Genomic DNA, 18,992 nt, shown 5'->3' with positions numbered 1-18,992 from the left:
CAATCTGTTTTCAACAAACTCTGCAGATGATTCTGATGAACGCTACAGTTTGAAAACTACTGGATCAGATGCTTTTCTCATTTTGGCTCAAAAATGACAGGCTCATTTGATTATTCAATATGCAGAAAGATATGATCTCAGCCCTCAATGATTCTAACCCTTGACTGCACATTAGAATCAACTGGGGGCTTTTAAAAAATGACCAGTGCCCTGGAATACCCCCAGAGATTTTTATTTAAGTCTAATACCAGATTTTTTTAAATACCTAGTGTAATTCTAAAAAGTGGTTAGAGCTCAGAGACAGTGAGTTCATTATTCAAAAGGCCCACACCACTAATGGACATCAGTAAAAATTATTGTAGCCAATAGAAGAAAAACATGTAAAGTTGTGTTACAAACTGATTTTTTTTTAAGCTAGGTACTAGTCACGCTACCCACAATCTTTAAAATATTTCTTTTGATTCTGCATTTTTGTATATTTGGAAGCATTGAGAATATTAATCATCAAAAATAATTAAATACACAAGATAAAGAAAAAACCTCCTACATATGACCTTTCCTGTTATTCAAGATGAATTAGAGACTTTTTTTTTTAAATCTAGAACAGCAACACACTCCCAGTATATGGTGCACAGGAAAAGCTGTTATAATTCGCAGATTTGGGTGCTCACAAATATAATCACTTAAAGAACTGGAAATAACAGAATCATTGTTTTAGCCAGGAAGAGCAGTGGGATTCCCAGGTTGCTAGGGACACTAGCATAGAACAAGAACTATGCATTCAGCTCTGCTCCTTTCAGCCAGCGGCTGCTCTGAAATGCCAGGAACCACAAGGAGTTGCAAGGATACTCCTGACACATAAAGCGTGGGCAAGCCTGAATAGGTCTTTTAAAAATTAAAAAAACAAAGTTGGTCCTGGAAAGTCTGTGAGGTTGTCATGTAGTAGAATCTAAACCACTTCCAAAATGTTATTTCCCAACTTTTACAGCCATGAATGGATTCATGTATGGGAATCAGCCGGGTCTCACTATGTGCAAAGGAGATTCGGTCGTGTGGTACTTATTCAGCGCCGGAAATGAGGCCGATGTACATGGAATATACTTTTCAGGAAACACATATCTGTGGAGAGGAGAACGGAGAGACACAGCAAACCTCTTCCCTCAAACAAGTCTTACGCTCCACATGTGGCCTGACACAGAGGGTATATTTACTTAAAGCCAAGTCTCTATTGGATGGATTTGTGTAGTTTTGGTTTAAAATCCTGTAGCAGAATGTGTTGGGTGATAAACTTATCCCTTCCCCAAGCCTCTGAAGTGCCCTTCCTATCTTTGAAAGAGCAAGTCTAGGCCACTATCAGCTGAAGTATGTACCAGATAGGTCTGTTTCCTAGTTACTGAGGACAATGTGGAGTAAAAGAACATGGTGTGGTTTTCTCCACTTCCATAGGCTCCTCAAGATGATCCCTTTTTAGATTATGGTCCTTTTAAAGATAGCTGGAAAATCAGACTAGAAGGGGAATGACTCCCATAAATATTCTGCACCTAAACTTTTCATCATGTCTCTGTAGCCTAGATGTAGTGTTGGCTTGTTGGTTGCAAGTGAATATTCTATGCTAGCATTGTAGCCATGCAAATTCAGAGACATCTACAGACCTGGCTCTGAACGAGTAAAACAAACTACAACTGAAGAGAAAGAATTTTAATCAAAATGTGAAAATATGCTAGCTTGTTTCAGGCTTCATTTGGTTTATCATATGCCACTGAAACTTAAGACCACCCCAGTGTCACGCTTTCCTTCCTTCAACAAATGTAAATACAACAATGAACAAAAGAGATAAGATGTCTCATGCTGCTGAAATTCTAATGCAGGGAGACAGACAACAAGCAAGTATATTAATACATATATGTCAAGTGATTATAAGTACACAAAGAAAAATAAGGCAGAGGAAGGGGATGGTGACTGAGAGGGGAAAGGGTCAAGATTCTCTCAGGAGGTGCTACTTAAGGAGAGACGAGAATAAAATGAGGGTGTGAACCATGAGGATATTTTGGGGAGAAGGCAGAGGAAACAGCAAGTGCAAAGTTCCCAAGGCAGGCACACACTTGATCTGCTCTAAGAACAGCAAAAGGATGGATGGAGCAGGGTGAGCAGAAGGTGTGGAAAGCTAGATCACCTGAGGCCATGATAAGGACTTCAGCATTAATTCTGAGGAAGGTGGAGAGCCCCAGAGGGCACTAGCAAAGAAGTGACATGTTTTCTTATTTACCACTCCAGGGACTTTTAATGTTGAATGCCTTACAACTGATCATTACACAGGCGGCATGAAGCAAAAATATACTGTGAACCAATGCAGGCGGCAGTCTGAGGATTCCACCTTCTACCTGGGAGAGAGGACATACTATATCGCAGCAGTGGAGGTGGAATGGGATTATTCCCCACAAAGGGAGTGGGAAAAGGAGCTGCATCATTTACAAGAGCAGAAGTAATTCTCCAGACTCTGATTCCCAATTTCAGCAGTAATTTTAGGTTTCCTTTTCAGAGAAGTAAGAATTACACCAAATTTTAGAAAAAAAAAAAAGTTGCATTAAACAATAACAACAACAACAACAACAACAACAAAACACTTCCTAGGAACTTGTCCTTATTCATTTCCGCTTCTCTCAATTTCCTTAAGGGAAAATTTCCATTTATCTTCTTTGATCCTTTGGAGTCTTGCTTTCTTTTCTACTGGAGTGTCTTCTCACATTCATGTGCCCTCATGTTGTCATTTATATTCAAACTTAACAAAAGTTAATGCCCAAATTCAGAGCAGAAATATTACTCCCCTTAGCAACTGTTTGTTGCTTATTTTTCCTTCAGAGTTTTCATTGTTAGTCTAACAATCGGTCATTTCACATCCTTAAAACCGTTACGTATGGAATATTTTAAATGCTTGAAGATGATAGATATAGTCTCTATCCTCTAAGAACTTACAGGAAAATATGGCACAAAATTACCAGTAACATGTCCATCATGGAAAAGTACAAAATAAATTCTGTATGAATAGATATAAGTAGAGGATGATTAGAGCTTCAGAAACATTAATTTAGAGCAGCATCTCTCATCACTTCTAGTTAGCCCTTTCTTCATACTTTTCCAAGCACTTTCCTCTCCATCATCCCACTTACATCATGCGCTGACCACATGGAGATGATCTGAGAGATTGGGGTGGGCAGGTGTTCAGATCCAGGGTGCATAGCACAACTGGTGACCTGTGGCTAGGCAGTGGTTACCTGTTTGACAGCAGTAGTGAGTATAGTTTGCAGTGTAAAGGAGTAAACTTTTATTTTGTAATTGGGGTAAAATGGTTAAAAGGCTACAGCTGCCATTAGAAGTAAGTGAAAACTGGCCGGGCGCGGTGGCTCACGTCTGTAATCCCAGCACTTTGGGAGGCCGAGGCGGGCGGATCACGAGGTCAGGGGATGGAGACCATCCTGGCTAACATGGTGAAACCCCGTCTCTACTAAAAAATACAAAAAATTAGCTGGGCATGGTGGCGGGCGCTTGTAGTCCCAGCTACTCGGAGGCTGAAGCAGGAGAATGGCGTGAACCCGGGAGGCAGAGCTTGCAGTGAGCGGAGATCACGCCACTGCACTCCAGCCTGGGCGACAGAGCAAGACTCCTCAAAAAAAAAAAAAAAAAAAAAAAAAAAAGAAGTAAGTGAAAAGGGAATGCCTGGGAAAAGATGTCCATTTCAGTTCCTATAAATCAGAAATATTGGACTCATAAAATTTTAGAGCTATAAAGTAATCTTAGAGATGATCTGTTCAAATATCTCATTTGAGGGATGAAAAAACTGAGGTTCCAATAGGCAGTGACTAGCTGGAGGAAATTTTCACTAGTGGCAGGGTAGAGGCCAGGACTCAGATGGCTGCACTCAGATGGCTAGGTATGCTTTCTACCACACAGACTTTTAAAGTCTTATTATGCATTCCTACTTGGATAGAAGAGTGATGATTTAAAACTACTATAATTACTCTAATAAAAACTATATTTTTATTCAAAATTTAAAGTTTAAAACTTAAGTTACATTTTCATTAAGACAAATACTAACCTTAGTTGTTTTTTTTTTTAAGTGTTTCAAATGCATTTTTAGATAAGGGAGAGTTTTACATAGGCTCAAAGTACAAGAAAGTTGTGTATCGGCAGTATACTGATAGCACATTCCGTGTTCCAGTGGAGAGAAAAGCTGAAGAAGAACATCTGGGAATTCTAGGTATGTTAATATCTCCAGTTTATCAGGTGTGGGTTAATGATGTGATGCTACCTGCAGTAACCGTCAATTCATGTCTATGGGTTTCATTTTCTTGGTTCATATATCAAAGTTGTTCAAATAAAAATTTAAAAATTAGTTATCTAATGAAATAAGACTGATGTTTATTAAATAATATGACATAGTAAAATATTACTTATTTCTCTTGGAAACTATGTATTGTCCCGTATACTGATGAAATTATATATATTTTATCAAATTGATGCCTGTAGTTTTAGTGAAGTTCCCAGAAACTATTTTCTAATGAAATTCTGTTTTTTGACAGAGTCTCACTCTGTCGCCCAGGATGGTGTGTAGTGGTGTGATTTCAGCTCACTGCAACCTGCCGCTCCTGTGCTCAAGTGAGTCTCCCACCTTAGCCTCCCAAGTAGCTGGGACTACAGGGATGGGCCACCACGCCTGGCTAATTTTTGTATTTTTAGTAGAGATGAGGTTTCACCATGTTGGCCAGGCTGGTCTCAAACTCCTGGCCTCAAGTGATCCGCCCACCTCAGCCTTCCAAAGTGCTGGGATTACAGGCGTGAGGCACTACACCTGGCCCTAATAAAATTCTTAACCAATTTATCCCCATTATCCTACCCATTCCTCTCAAATTACAGCTATTTACTTTTAAAATTAAAATATAAATGATTAATTACAAGAAGAAATATACAAAAGGAAATTAATTACAACAGGAAATAAAAGAAAAAATGATACCACGCACAAAGCAGGGGCAAAGCTGCCTTCAATTTTTTAGGACTCACTTTAAGACAGAATGTCTAGAACTCGAGCAACACTGGTCTTGAGACATTTCTTTAAAACTATCAATTGCAGGGACCCCCACTCCCATCCCCACCCCACTGTGTTCCCATACTGTCAGCATTCCCCTGAGGCTTGGTTATCCTCAACCCCTAGACTAAGACACCAAGGCAAAATGGCATTGTTGCTGGAGCACAAAAATCCTACCAGACAAGAGACAAGCTAAGATTGGATAAAGGGTAGAAATGAGAGGGGTATAAATGACTCCTGGCCAGATATCCAACCCACCATGATTAGACCGGTACTCTGCAAAGGACTTTCAGGCCAAACCTCCCCTAGAACTCTTAAGAGATAAACAAATGGTCTCCATTTTTATTTCCAGTGTATTGATTCCAAATTCCCTGGGACGCAGTATAAATCCAAGAGTATTATACCACAAACCCATGGGGGAGAGAAACAAGTTATCTTTGCTGATCTTTGCTTTTATTACTAAGTTAGACCTTCTGATTGGACACTCTTCCTCTTCACTTTTGCCAGGTCCACAACTTCATGCAGATGTTGGAGACAAAGTCAAAATTATCTTTAAAAACATGGCCACAAGGCCCTACTCAATACATGCCCATGGGGTACAAACAGAGAGTTCTACAGTTACTCCAACATTACCAGGTACTCACGGGGGCGGGGGTGGGGGTGGTGCATTTTAACAGGCTGTACAGCCTTTCCACAGATTACTCTCATCATAGAGAGTCTGGACCAAGAAAGTGAAAAGGGAGGTAGTTGTGAAGAGGGGATGCAAGGAGGTGTCTGTGTGTATGCAAGTACATGCACATGCTTGTACTAAAAAAAAAAGTCCACAGGAGAGCTTAAGAGAAAAACCTGAAGGTAGTAGACATCTATGAATCCTCAAGCGTGAATCAGAGAGATGCTGTCTCCTCGCTCAGCTAGAACACAGCTCAAATGGCATCTACCACACCATATGTGGCTGGATGTTCCCATGCCTGTCTCTAGCACATGTGGTTCTAAGGGCCAGAGGCTGCCACTTGGAACTCTAAATTCCCCCTATCTAGTACAGTATCTGGCATATATTAGGAGATCATCAAATGTTTCTTTAATAAACATAGAGTAAAATCTTGAACAGATTATATACATAGGTGAGCATTTTCTTTAATAAGAACCATATTTTTCTTCTATTAGTTGTAAAGTTGGCTTCCAGGAAAATACTATTTCTCAATAACTTAGCAGGGTGTAGCAAGGGTGCTATTTTAGGTAGAGAGGTCAGGAGGGCTTCCTTGAGGAGGTGGCATTGCTGAAAACACCTAAAGTTTGAGAAGTAATGAAATTCAGGTAATTGTGCACGAATTGATTCTAGGCCCCGAAGACAGGAGCAATGCCTGGTGTGTGTGAGCAGCAGCAAGGCAGCCAGAGGCTAAAGAAAAGCACACAAGGGACAGAATGCTAGAGATGAGATCCAGGGAGAGCAGGGGCCAGATGGAGTAGGGAGGACCTCAGACTCGAGATTTAAGACTGATGTTCTGATGGACACCTTTTAAGGGGCTGTTGGTGATGTGTGGTTAAGTGACCCTAAGGGGGCAAGGACAGAATCTGGGGTCAGTTAAGGACCACTGCAATAATCTGGGTAAAATCATCATCATCATCATCATCATCGAGATTTGGAATATGGTGGAAGCGGCTGAAGTGGTGAGATGTTATCATATTCTGGTTCCATTTTAAAGGTGGTACTAAAAGGACCTGCTGGAAAATGGGCACTAGGGAGTGTTAGGGAAGAGAGGAGTCAAGCATGACCCCAAGGTTTTGGGCACTGACCACTGGTGGAAGAGCAGGTTGTAAAGGGGTGTGGAAAAGAGAAGAAAATGTTATTTTGCAGCTTATGAGAATAAGTAAAAGCAGAGATGGCCAGACAGTAATATGTGCAGGTGGTGAATCAATACTTTATATTCTAGTGAAATTTTCTGCTTAGAAAAAGGGTGAGGACATAGGAACAGCTCAGACTGAGGCTTGAAGAAAAAGTAAGACGTCTACCACATCACTTGAGACCATCTCTGTTGTCTTGCTTGATTCTCTAGTGAATGTCTGTTGGACTCTGGCAGGTTAGTGTGATAGCATGAATATGTAATGGTGTGGTCTAAATAAATGGGATGGAAAATGAGTGTGGCTGGGATTGGTGAGTGGGCATGGCCAAAAGTTGAGGCCTGTGAGCAGTTGCACAGGAAGCCCTGAGGTGAATGGAAACGCAGATCAGACTGGAGAAAAGCCTAGAGCACATGGGAAAAGGGTAAGAGCCTTGGCAAAGCAGGAGGGTGAAGCAACTGGTCGTCTTCAAAATGCCAAGGCCGAGGGTGTGGTTATGTCCTGTATGTGGGAGTAGTGACAAAACAGCACATGGTGTGATAGAATGAGATGGACTGGAGGGGGAGGTAAACATAACTGTGTCAAGTCGGTGACTCATGAGATCAAGAGGTCTAACGGCTCCTCGCCAGGAATCATGAGCTCACTAAGGATGATCATGAGAGAGGACAAGGAAAGGAAGCCAATGCTGAAGCTGAGGGAATTACACAAAATAGTCCAGATACACACATGCAGAGATTACGGGAAAGGTGCCAGCCACTGGGGAAAAATCACTTGGTATCTGAAGAGAAAAAAGTATATTAGGAAAACACACTTCAAGCTAAGAAGAGATTGGTTGCAAAGTTTTTTCAAATTGTAATATTGAAGTACACACCTCCTAGCTTTGTGGTATGGCAAGTGGGTTATAGCTAATTTAAAATTAACCCAAAAAATGACAAAATTTTGTCTTCCAGTTCATCTTAAAACTAAATTCCTGAAAACAATCTTGAGTACCACAATTTTTAAAAACTAATTACACTGACATTTCCAGTTCCTGGGTCCTAGTTATCAAGGCTGTGTGTGTGTGTGTGTGTGTGTGTGTGTGTGTGTGTGTACAATATAAACCAAATACAACCAGATCCATTAACACTTGATGAATTTAGGTGAAACTCTCACTTACGTATGGAAAATCCCAGAAAGATCTGGAGCTGGAACAGAGGATTCTGCTTGTATTCCATGGGCTTATTATTCAACTGTGGATCAAGTTAAGGTAAAATACAAATCATTTGTTTTGTGACACTTCCCAAAATAGACACACAATTGAAGGAAGACAAGGTTAGTGTTTTCCTGTGGTCCAATTCTACGTTAAAATCCTAGGAAAATAAACTGTTTGCAATCTACTTTAGCAACTATGCTGCTACCTATGACACACAAGACAAAAATCTAACATTTCCTAATATGATACAGCTCAAAGGCCTTTCAAGATATTTGGGAAGTTTAGATTTTTGTCTTGTGGGTCACAGGTAGCCACTGAAAAATTGACCAAGAATGGCAGTATATTTGCATTTCAGATCCTTCATTCTGGTGGAATGAAGGAAGGCTTGGAGGGGGAAGAGACTGGAGGTTGGGAGGCCGTTGTAATACGTGAGGCAAATTTCAAGGACCTCTACTGTAAGGAGGGAGAAAAGAAATGGAGTCGGTTATAGATAGGTGGGTGAAGTGCCTGAGTGAGCCGGGGGAAGTAGCTCCTTGATAATTCAGTGTTCTGGCTCAAACAAATGAGTAAATCTGGTATTTGTGGTCCTATTTATTATTACACATTTCATTCATCTATGGATTTTTAGGGACTGCCATAGCGCTTGGCTCACACTCAAGAGTTCATGAGTTTATGGAACAAACCAACACTGTTCATTTGGGATTCTTTTAAAATCACTGCTCATTAGCTGAGCTAATTTTTGCCTCTGCAGACATTTCTGTTATGTCAGCATCACCCACATGACCTACCTACTACTCACCATTGTTCCAATTTAACTACTTCAAGTGAAAAGTTACTAAATTGGCAGTACCACATTGGGCAAAGTCTGTTACTTCAATTGGTCTCTCCAAAATTCCTGAGGCCCTGGGTGCAAAGTCTCAGTTCTCTGAAATCCTGACCTAATTCACAAGGGTTACTGAAGATTTTTCTTGTTTCCAGGACCTCTACAGTGGATTAATTGGCCCCCTGATTGTTTGTCGAAGACCTTACTTGAAAGTATTCAATCCCAGAAGGAAACTGGAATTTGCCCTTCTGTTTCTAGTTTTTGATGAGAATGAATCTTGGTACTTAGATGACAACATCAAAACATACTCTGATCACCCCGAGAAAGTAAACAAAGATGATGAGGAATTCATAGAAAGCAATAAAATGCATGGTATGTCACATTATTCTAAAACAATTTTTCTACTTTTTTATCATTTTCTCTTTCAAATAAAATTATTTTGGAGACCATTCATTTGTTTTGTCTTAAAATAAACCACTTCTGCCTCACTTTGTATGTCAGGTAGAATCCTGTTCAAAACAAAAAGGGGACTATGTTCAAAATCATTTGCTAATTTATTTTCCAATTCCAAAATCTCATTTCCTTTGAAATAATCCAAAACTAAGATTAAGGCTTTTGGTGCAAAGTGCCTAGAAAAGCAATGTGATATTATTGACTTTAAAGTATCCATTTCTCTCATTTGTAGTAAAATAAGTCCTATTACATCAAAAAGATTCTTTACATTAACCTAATAATCATATTTTCTTTGAAATAGCTATTGGTTTAAAATATCCTGAAAAGTAACATAAAACCATATGCTTTCCCTAGCTATTAATGGAAGAATGTTTGGAAACCTACAAGGCCTCACAATGCACGTGGGAGATGAAGTCAACTGGTATCTGATGGGAATGGGCAATGAAATAGACTTACACACTGTACATTTTCACGGCCATAGCTTCCAATACAAGGTAAGAGCTATCCATGGCAATTACTCTTGCTCTGTTTGAAAATGTTTTAATACAAGTGAAGAAAATATTTTCTCAGAGAGACTTATGAAAAAAAGCTGCAAAGAGTACAGCCGGTGCTTCATATCCGTGGATTCCCCACCCAGGATTCAATCATGGATTGAAAATATTCAGGAAAAAATAATTCCACTAAGTTCCAAAAAGCAAAACTTGGATCTGCTGCACTGAGTACTATGTTGAATCCATGCAAATGAAATGATATGTAGGCACTGTATTAGGTATTATAATAATCTAGAGATGATTTAAAGTATATGGAAGGATGTGCATAAGTTAAATGGAAATATGCCATTTTATATAAGGGACTTGAGCATCCATGGATTTTGGTATGGGGGCATTCCTGAAACCAATCCTCCATAGATACTGAGGGATGCCTATATAAGGCACAGCAATTTCAATTGACACACTAGCCTTTGTTACACATTGAGCTCTTCCTAGGATTTGCATTTTTAACTGAATTTTCATGGAGTTCTGCTCAGATTCCTGATTAAGGCAACTGAGCGGAATTGCTAACAAAGAGGGTAGGAATGTTCACATAATGATGGATGAGAGTAGAGACCACAACAAGACTTTATTATAACCCTTGCCCTGCCTGTTCTAAGTTCTGTATCTTAAATGGCCCATGGTGAGCAAGATCAGTTAGGTGACAAGCAACTGGTCTGTACATCTCAATCTTACTTCTATTCTTTCTCAGTACTGATTTCAGCAGAAGCCAGTGGCCCTCCTGGAAATGCTTTTTCCTTATGCTTTGGGCTAATTTAGAAAAGGCAGAAGTTATCAAAAAGCATACTGCAGAAAGCCTGTTTTGTTACCTGCATTTTGTTTTACATAGATATATTGTATTCTTAGTGGGCTTTCAATTCTATCCTTGCAGAAATAGACTATTGTCACCCAACTACTGTTTCCAGCCGAGACTCCCTGAAGTGCCTCTGGTTTTTGTCGTTTTCATCAGCCTCCTTTTCTGCTTCCTTTATTATTTACCTTGACTTAAAGCTTCAGACAAGCTAGGACAGATTCAGGCAAAAGTGAGGCTAGGGCTGAAATGGGGCCACAGCTGAGTTCCTTTTGTGTAGCTTAAGTGCTATGACAAACAGGCAAACCAGAATCAAGGTACAGGAGGTTTGTAGGTAGTCCTGATTGATGAATTCATTCTCATCACATCTTTCTTTCACACCCACTTGATGTGGATACCAAAGACTTATTAGGAATACAAAAACCACATTTTACCATTTGTATTAAACACAGAAACGAGCTCGATTTTTTAAAAACAGATTTATCCATTTTTTCAATATCCCTGAGCTGAACATTAACAAATGACATGAGTGAACTCTCATATACAATATTATACATTATTTGTCATTTTTCTAATTAAGCACAGGGGAGTTTATAGTTCTGATGTCTTTGACATTTTCCCTGGAACATACCAAACCCTAGAAATGTTTCCAAGAACACCTGGAATTTGGTTACTCCACTGCCATGTGACCGACCACATTCATGCTGGAATGGAAACCACTTACACCGTTCTACAAAATGAAGGTGAATATCCAGGTAGTAATTCTAGAAGCCATATATAAAAGATATAACTAAAGGAACTACTTTGCCTAAATACTTCCCCCAATATGATGCATCAATATGAAGCATTTGTGAATCTGCTGCCCTGATTTCTTCCTTCTCTACCTCCAAACAGGATTTTTTTCCTGCTAAATGGTGAGGGATACTGCTCATTTCCTGACAGCCAGTACTTGTAACAGCACCAGTCATTTCTAAGTTAATACAAATGTGTAATTATACTTAAAGCTGATATAAGGGAGTAGTCATGTTATTTACCAAGAAACAAACCATTATTTACATAAGACACATTTAGAATCTAATTTCTTTCTTAACAAAAAACAATTTTTTTTCTAGGTGGCACCTCCATGTAAGAGAAGCCCAAGACAACCCCAAATAATATAATTTCAAATAGGCAGTGTCTTTTCTGTGCTTCCAAGGGGAAGGAGGAACCTTACCGATAATTGTTTGTGAAAGATCCAGGGAAGAAACAAAATTTAAATGCACTGCTCCCCAACCCCTGCAATAACCCTCCCCATGTGTAGGTACACACACACACACACACACACACACTTAAAATGGAGAAAAATGAACAGTTTTTTTGGTAAGATTCCTGCACTGTGGCTGCAGGCTTTGGTCTTTCCTGGGTCTTTCGAGTTGAGGATTGTTGTAATTAGAAATGGTAAATTCAAAGGGAGGAAATTATGTAAAGAAAACCAATCTATGTCTTTCCTCCCTAAAATGGGGAAAAAGGGAACATACAAATGAAGAAAATATAAATGTAAATATATTTGAAGATTTAAAAAGCCCTGAAAGGTTAACCTTTAGTGCAAATGGAAAGTTTTAATTTCTGCTCCTGGGTCTTACACAAACAACTTACATCATGAAAAACTATTTCCATTAATGCCCTTTTTATTAGAGCAGTCACTGATAACACTAGAATATCAAAGACTCTAACAGACAAGCCACTAAATTTAACGCCAATAACTTGAACAAAGTGAAGAGAGCCAAATATGAGAAAGAAAACTTTAGTCTTTAAATAACACTTGCAACCATGTGGTTACATGTGGTTGCATGTAAACCACACAAAAGGATGGTCTTGCTCAAAAAAATAATGGTGAGTAAGTAACATGGAGGCATTTGGGGAATTCATGTGTGCAAATGCCTGGCATGCAGAGTATGGCACTACAGGGTAACCCTACACACACAGCCACAGAGAAGATTCCTCCTGTGTAACAACCGTGAAAGAAGAGGGAGATTACTGCTTGGTTAAGAAAGGCGAGATAGTTTTTAAAGCTATAGTAAAAATTACAGAACAAATAGCAAATATGAAGTAAAAATCAACACTAGATAAAAAATTAAAGAGAAATTTGACTTTTGCAAAGAGAAAAGGTATTGCATGAGACTGAAAGCAGCAGACTGAATAAAAAAAGATAGTTTGAACTATCTTTGGCCCATAAAATCAGTGGCCATGTTTATCAGTCTGAATCATCTTTAAATAAGTCCAATAAAGCTTTGAGCAAGTTTACATTAATTATGAGTCTTAGAAAAGCCTGCTTAGCTTTAAATTTCTTACAGGCAGGGACTATATATTCTGTATTTCTAGCTAAGTACCCAAATCCAATACAATAGTTTGCTTACTGAATGTATAACAACATATTAATTCAATGAAGAGAAACTTTTGAAACTTTTTTGACATAATTTCAGATTCCCATATACCTTTCACCCAGATTCCCCAAATATTAATGATGTGCGTAGCCACATTGGCTTTCTCATTCTTTTCCCTATCTCCCTCTCATGCTCACCCTCTATATGTACACACACAGACGTGTATAGATACACATACAACTATCTTTCCTAAAAACAAGAATATTCTTGTACATGACCACAATACAATGATCGAAATTAGAAAAGCAACAATGATTTAAAAACTAGAGATCTTCAAATTTCGCTAATAATCCTAATCATGTTCTTTACAGAAAAAGAAAATCCCGGATCATGTACTGCATTGTTGCCATGTCTTTTAAGTCTCCTTTACTCTGAATAATTCCTTAATAAAGGGCACTTTGTAGAATGTCCTTCAATTTGAGTTTGTCTAATGTTTCCTTATGATTAGATTTAGGTTATGCACTTTTGGCAAGACTATCATGGCATGATGTTGTGTTTTTCTTAGTACACCATATCAGGAGGCACAAGATATTGATCAGTTCTATTACTGGTTATGTTAACTTCAAGCTTTGGTTAAGATGGTGTCTGCCAGGTGTCTCCATTGTAAAGTTATTCATTTTCCCTTTACAATTAATAAAGATCTTGTAGGGAAGAAAGTAATCTTTCTTTAAATAAAGCAGCAATAGAATGAGAGATTTTTAAACATATAAAAAGCAGAAAAATATAAATGAATCAGGAGTAAAGTAACATTAAAAATTGGAATACATTTAAAGAACCATCTACTAATTTCTAACCATATATTATTTTTAATAATGGTCTTAAAATTTCTTTTTCTATAGACACCAAATCTGGCTGAATGAAATAAATTGGTGATAAGTGGAAAAAAGAGAAAAACCAATGATTCATAACAATGTATGTGAAAGTGTAAAATAGAATGTTACTTTGGAATGACTATAAACATTAAAAGAAGACTGGAAGCATACAACTTTGTACATTTGTGGGGGAAAACTATTAATTTTTTGCAAATGGAAAGATCAACAGACTATATAATGATACATGACTGACACTTGTACACTAGGTAATAAAACTGATTCATACAGTCTAATGATATCACCGCTGTTAGGGTTTTATAAAACTGCATTTAAAAAAAGATCTATGACCAGATATTCTCCTGGGTGCTCCTCAAAGGAACACTATTAAGGTTCATTGAAATGTTTTCAATCATTGCCTTCCCATTGATCCTTCTAACATGCTGTTGACATCACACCTAATATTCAGAGGGAATGGGCAAGGTATGAGGGAAGGAAATAAAAAATAAAATAAATAAAATAGAATGACACAAATTTGAGTTTTGTGAACCCCTGAACAGATGGTCTTAAGGACGTTATCTGGAACTGGAGAAAAGCAGAGTTGAGAGACAATTCTATAGATTAAATCCTGGTAAGGACAAACATTGCCATTAGAAGAAAAGCTTCAAAATAGACCTGTGGCAGATGTCACATGAGTAGAATTTCTGCCCAGCCTTAACTGCATTCAGAGGATAATATCAATGAACTAAACTTGAACTAAAAATTTTTTAAACAAAAAGTTATAAATGAAGACACATGGTTGTGAATACAATGATGTATTTCTTTATTTTCACATACACTCTAGCTAAAAGAGCAAGAGTACACATCAACAAAAATGGAAACAAGGCTTTGGCTGAAAAAAACATGCATTTGACAAATCATGTTAATAGCTAGACAAGAAGAAAGTTAGCTTTGTAAACTTCTACTTCATTTGATTCAGAGAAACAGAGCATGAGTTTTCTTAAAAGTAACAAGAAAAGGAACAAAAAAAATGAGGTTTGAAATCTTTTACCATGGCAAAACATTAACATCTTTCTCAAAAACATAGAGAAATCTGGAAAAATCAAGAAGATAAAATTCTGGACCAGTTAGTGACATTCTTTCAAGCATACTTGTAAAATGTTTCCTTAAAGTGTTCTTGGGATGAAAATGATTGTCATGTCTCCAACAACAGTGAACTGATGTTGTTCCTTGGAATAAAAGTCAATCCCCACCTTAAAAAATGTATGGCTTCTTTGAGGAATTCTTATGTCTTAAAGACTTTTTACATTCTAGACAATTAAATTGATTGAGGTCATAAATTAAGAAGTGAATAGTTACCACTACACGGTAAGGTAAGCAGCCTGAAAGCATTTGTATCATATATGTGTGTGTGTGTGTGTGTGTGTGTGTGTGTGTGTGTGATATATAAAATAAAAAACTCCTCTACTTGTACTTTGGCATTCAATTTTTAGAAATTCAGTCTCAAATGCCATTATGGTATTTTTCAAATGATACCTTTAAGTCAATGGTTTCTTTCGACTGCAATAGAGAAGATATGGCAAGAAAAATGTTGCAGTACCATCTTCTGGGAGAACATTCATGAAATCCTTCAGTTCTAGTTCCACAGCAACAATTGACAATGTTTCTGTGTAGAAAAGAATATCTGAATTAGAATTGAAAGTCTGTCTTTCATTCAATCTCTTCTTACTTAACCAACCAATTAGAAGCCAGTTCAGGCCAGGCGTGGTGGCTCACGCCTGTAATCCCAGCACTTTGGGAGGCCGAGGTGGGCAGATCACGAGGTCAGGAGTTCAAGACCAGTCTGGCCAACATGGTGAAACCCTGTCTCTACTAAAAATACAAAAAAATTAGCCGGGCATGGTGGCGCACACCTGTAATCCTAGCTACTCAGGAGGCTGAGGCGGGAGAATTGCTTGAACCCTTGAGGCAGAAGTTGCAGTGAGTTGAGATTGCACCACTGCACTCCAGCCTAGGTGACAGAGCAAGACTCCATCTCAGGACAAAAAAAAAAAAAAAAAAAGAAGCCAGTTCAGGTAACAAAATGTTATAACTTCAAAGAAAAAAATCAGTCTCTTAAATCCATAGGCTTCTTTATGGTTGTAACTTATTTTTCCTTACTAGAATCCTTTGAAGGTTATTTTATATCAGCCACATGAAATTTGGATTTATTATTTCATTGCTGAATTACTATATTATTTTGCAATCAATTTCTACTATCCTCTAAAGAAAAGTACAATCATTTGAATATTCTTTTTAATGCTATGTCTATACTAAGCTAATTTATAAAGATTGATAGGATAAGAAACACCAATGTTTTCCCGTATTAGTTCCTAACGTAACATTTCATGTTGTTAATAAGCACAAATCTGTTTTCACGACCATTTACTTCCTTTTCCCCCAAACTGCAATGGTGTTCTAATGAACAATATATTTTTTTTTTTTGAGACGGAGTCTCGCTCTGTCACCATGCTGGAGTGCAGTGGTGCGATCTCAGCTCACTGCAACCTCTGCCTCCTGGGTCCAAGAGATTCTCCTGCCTCAGCCTCCCAAATAGCTGGGACTACAGGTGCGCACCACCACGTCCAGCTAATTTTTGTATTTTTAGTAGAGACAGGGTTTCACCATGTTGGCCAGGATGGTCTCGATCTCTTGACCTCATGATCCGCCTGCCTTGGCCTCCCAAAGCACTGGGATTACCGGCGTGAGCCACCGCACCTGGCCCCAGTGAACATTTTAAATATTAAGGAATGTAACATACATTAAAAAAAATGCAACTTTATGATTCTACAGCTTCTTAACAGATACATGCTGCCCTCTCCCGGAATAGAAGGGTGACAGTTATGAACAATGTTCCCAATAAACATCCACTTGGTCTTACATCTTCTATCCACATGTCAGTGCCATTCCCTGTGTGATCGTTGCATGCCCATCGCTTACTCTATTTGCAGAGTAAGTGAAATATAAGATCCATTCCAAAGTCATCTGTCCAATATACAGCAACCTAAATTTTTCTTTACACAAAAGAATGAACTGCCTTTGTTGCTAAAGAGTTAATGAATAAAGCAGCAATGGTTTATAGAAAAGATTCCTAGTTCTGGAATCCAGACAGACTTGGGAAGAGATCCAGACTCTTCCACCAACTCACCGAGTGGCTTTAAGAAAGTCACTTAATCTTCCAAGTCCTAGGTTCCTCATTTATAATGTAGTGGTACTGTCTGCTAGCTTCCACAGTTCCCGTGAAAATTAAGCTAAAATACAATGATGCACATCTGACATAAAATCAGACCTTAATAAACAGCAACTACTAACTAGCTTGCAAAATGTATGTGAAAAATATGAATTATTGATGTTTTCCTATCAAAGCAGTTTACTTACCTAAATGTGGAGCCTGTAAGTAGCATCTCAGAAACAAAAAAACTGAGTTGGAGAGCTAGTGTGGAGTTGTTATAGAGTCAACAAAAATCTCACCACTTCCCAATTCTCCTCTTCTCCCAAATAAGGAGGGGCTAATACAGGTTATCACTCCAAGAAGGTCAATATCTTAAATTCACAGAGTACTTTAAAAATTAATAAAGCACTTTCATGTATAACTTCTCTTTAATTCCTTCTAGAATCCTTTGAGGTTTTTATTTATTTAATCCAAGCCCCATCCCAAATAGGGTAAACTAATGGGTATTAGGCCTGATTTAGGGTTGGGAAAATTGAGGCTAAGAGAAGGTTAAAATTACTTGCTCTACTCCACTCACCAGCTACCTAAATCTACAAGTTACATATAAATGATATATCTAAATGTAAACCTGTACCCTTAAAATCTTCCAGCATGTCTAGAAAATATTTGTCAAAGGTTGAAAATTTCTGGATGGTGGGATTTTAAATGATTTTTAAATTTAATTTTTGTAATTTACCACAGTACCAGAATTTTAAAAAATAAGCCTGGTTCATTACAAAAACAGTACTGAATATTTCCCTAAAACAACCAACCCATCCACTAACCCATTTTAATGGTTCTGCATTAGTGTGGCAGTTGTCAACCAGGAAAATTTTGTCCCACAGGGGACATCTGGCAACATCTGGAGACATTTTTGTTTGTTATAACTGAGGCAGTAGTATTGGCATCTAATGAGTAGAGACCAGGGATACTGTTTAATATCCTAAAATGCACAGGGGAAACCCCCACGCACACGGACAATTACCAAGGTTGAAAAATGCTGTATTAGAGAGATAAGAAATCCAAACTCCTAAGCATGTAAGTCCCTGAGCTTCATCTCCAACCTCTCCCTCTTGCAATTTTGCCTAACATTTAACTTTTGATTCAGTCCTGAACTTCTCATTTAGTCTCACGACATTAGAAAACTGGGTTGCTCTCGGACACTTAGTAAGTGGCAAACCTGGAACTCAGTTCCAATTCTCCAGATCCCAGTACAGGGCTCTTTTCAGTGTACAACTGTTAAGAAAACACCCTTCTGTGAAACGAACCTAAAGTTCTTCAGCTGTCTCCCTTTCTAATCAATGAACAGTTACAGAATGCTTCCTATAGGAGAGGCATATTGCTGGTGAGGAATGTGTAGCTTGAAAAAATGAATAAAACACTATGCCAGCTCTTGAGGTATTACAGTCTAATAAAGGTAAATCACACATGGCACTTAGTCTCATTAGCCATACACACACACACACACACACGTATGCACACAAATATATTTTGAAGACAGAGAAAAATGCAACATTTGGAGGAATGATTATGGGTGAGTTGGGGTGGAGTGTGTGGATGTGGATCAGAAAAGGATGAAGAAAGAGTCTTCTGATTAAGATAATGATGATGCTGAGGTGTAAAGATGTGGGATGTCTGTACTGGAAAGTGCTCCACTAACACAAACAGTCAGTGATAAATTATGTAAAGTGTATGCAAGTGGGGCAAAGTAATCAGACATCTGACACTTCCATCTTCTGAAAACCTAAAGCAATCAGGGAGACGGGTAGGACAGAGAATAAA

General features: G+C 38.3%; 2 protein-coding genes across 11 annotated transcripts in view; one reads left to right on the top strand and one right to left on the bottom strand.

Annotated features, from left to right (window-relative positions):
- CP (ceruloplasmin) overlaps positions 1–18,992 on the top strand; it is a 59,416-nt gene that overhangs the window by 34,109 nt on the left and 6,315 nt on the right. The window contains exons 11-19 of one of the 9 annotated variants that reach the window (NM_000096.4): positions 989–1,201; positions 2,275–2,482; positions 4,116–4,255; positions 5,588–5,716; positions 8,059–8,165; positions 9,090–9,306; positions 9,742–9,881; positions 11,309–11,471; positions 13,991–15,224. In NM_000096.4, the coding sequence (NP_000087.2) occupies positions 989–1,201; positions 2,275–2,482; positions 4,116–4,255; positions 5,588–5,716; positions 8,059–8,165; positions 9,090–9,306; positions 9,742–9,881; positions 11,309–11,471; positions 13,991–14,007 (1,334 nt within the window). In that variant the 3' untranslated portion in view covers positions 14,008–15,224. Of the gene's footprint in view, positions 1–988; positions 1,202–2,274; positions 2,483–4,115; positions 4,256–5,587; positions 5,717–8,058; positions 8,166–9,089; positions 9,307–9,741; positions 9,882–11,308; positions 11,484–11,840; positions 15,225–18,992 lie in introns of those variants that run through there. The other 8 variants (XM_006713500.5, XM_006713501.4, XM_017005734.3 and 5 more) reach the window with 8 other exon arrangements.
- The window catches only part of HPS3 (HPS3 biogenesis of lysosomal organelles complex 2 subunit 1), a 44,095-nt gene continuing 39,091 nt past the window's right edge, over positions 13,989–18,992 (bottom strand). For both annotated transcript variants that reach the window (NM_032383.5, NM_001308258.2), the window contains one exon: positions 13,989–15,626. In NM_032383.5, the coding sequence (NP_115759.2) occupies positions 15,499–15,626 (128 nt within the window). In that variant the 3' untranslated portion in view covers positions 13,989–15,498. The remainder of the gene's footprint in view (positions 15,627–18,992) is intronic.

Source organism: Homo sapiens, chromosome 3, assembly GCF_000001405.40.
Source record: "Homo sapiens chromosome 3, GRCh38.p14 Primary Assembly".
Classification (NCBI taxonomy): Eukaryota; Metazoa; Chordata; class Mammalia; order Primates; family Hominidae; genus Homo; species Homo sapiens.
The sequence above is the reverse complement of the archived record's forward strand: the minus strand, read 5'-3'. Positions and strand labels throughout refer to the sequence as shown.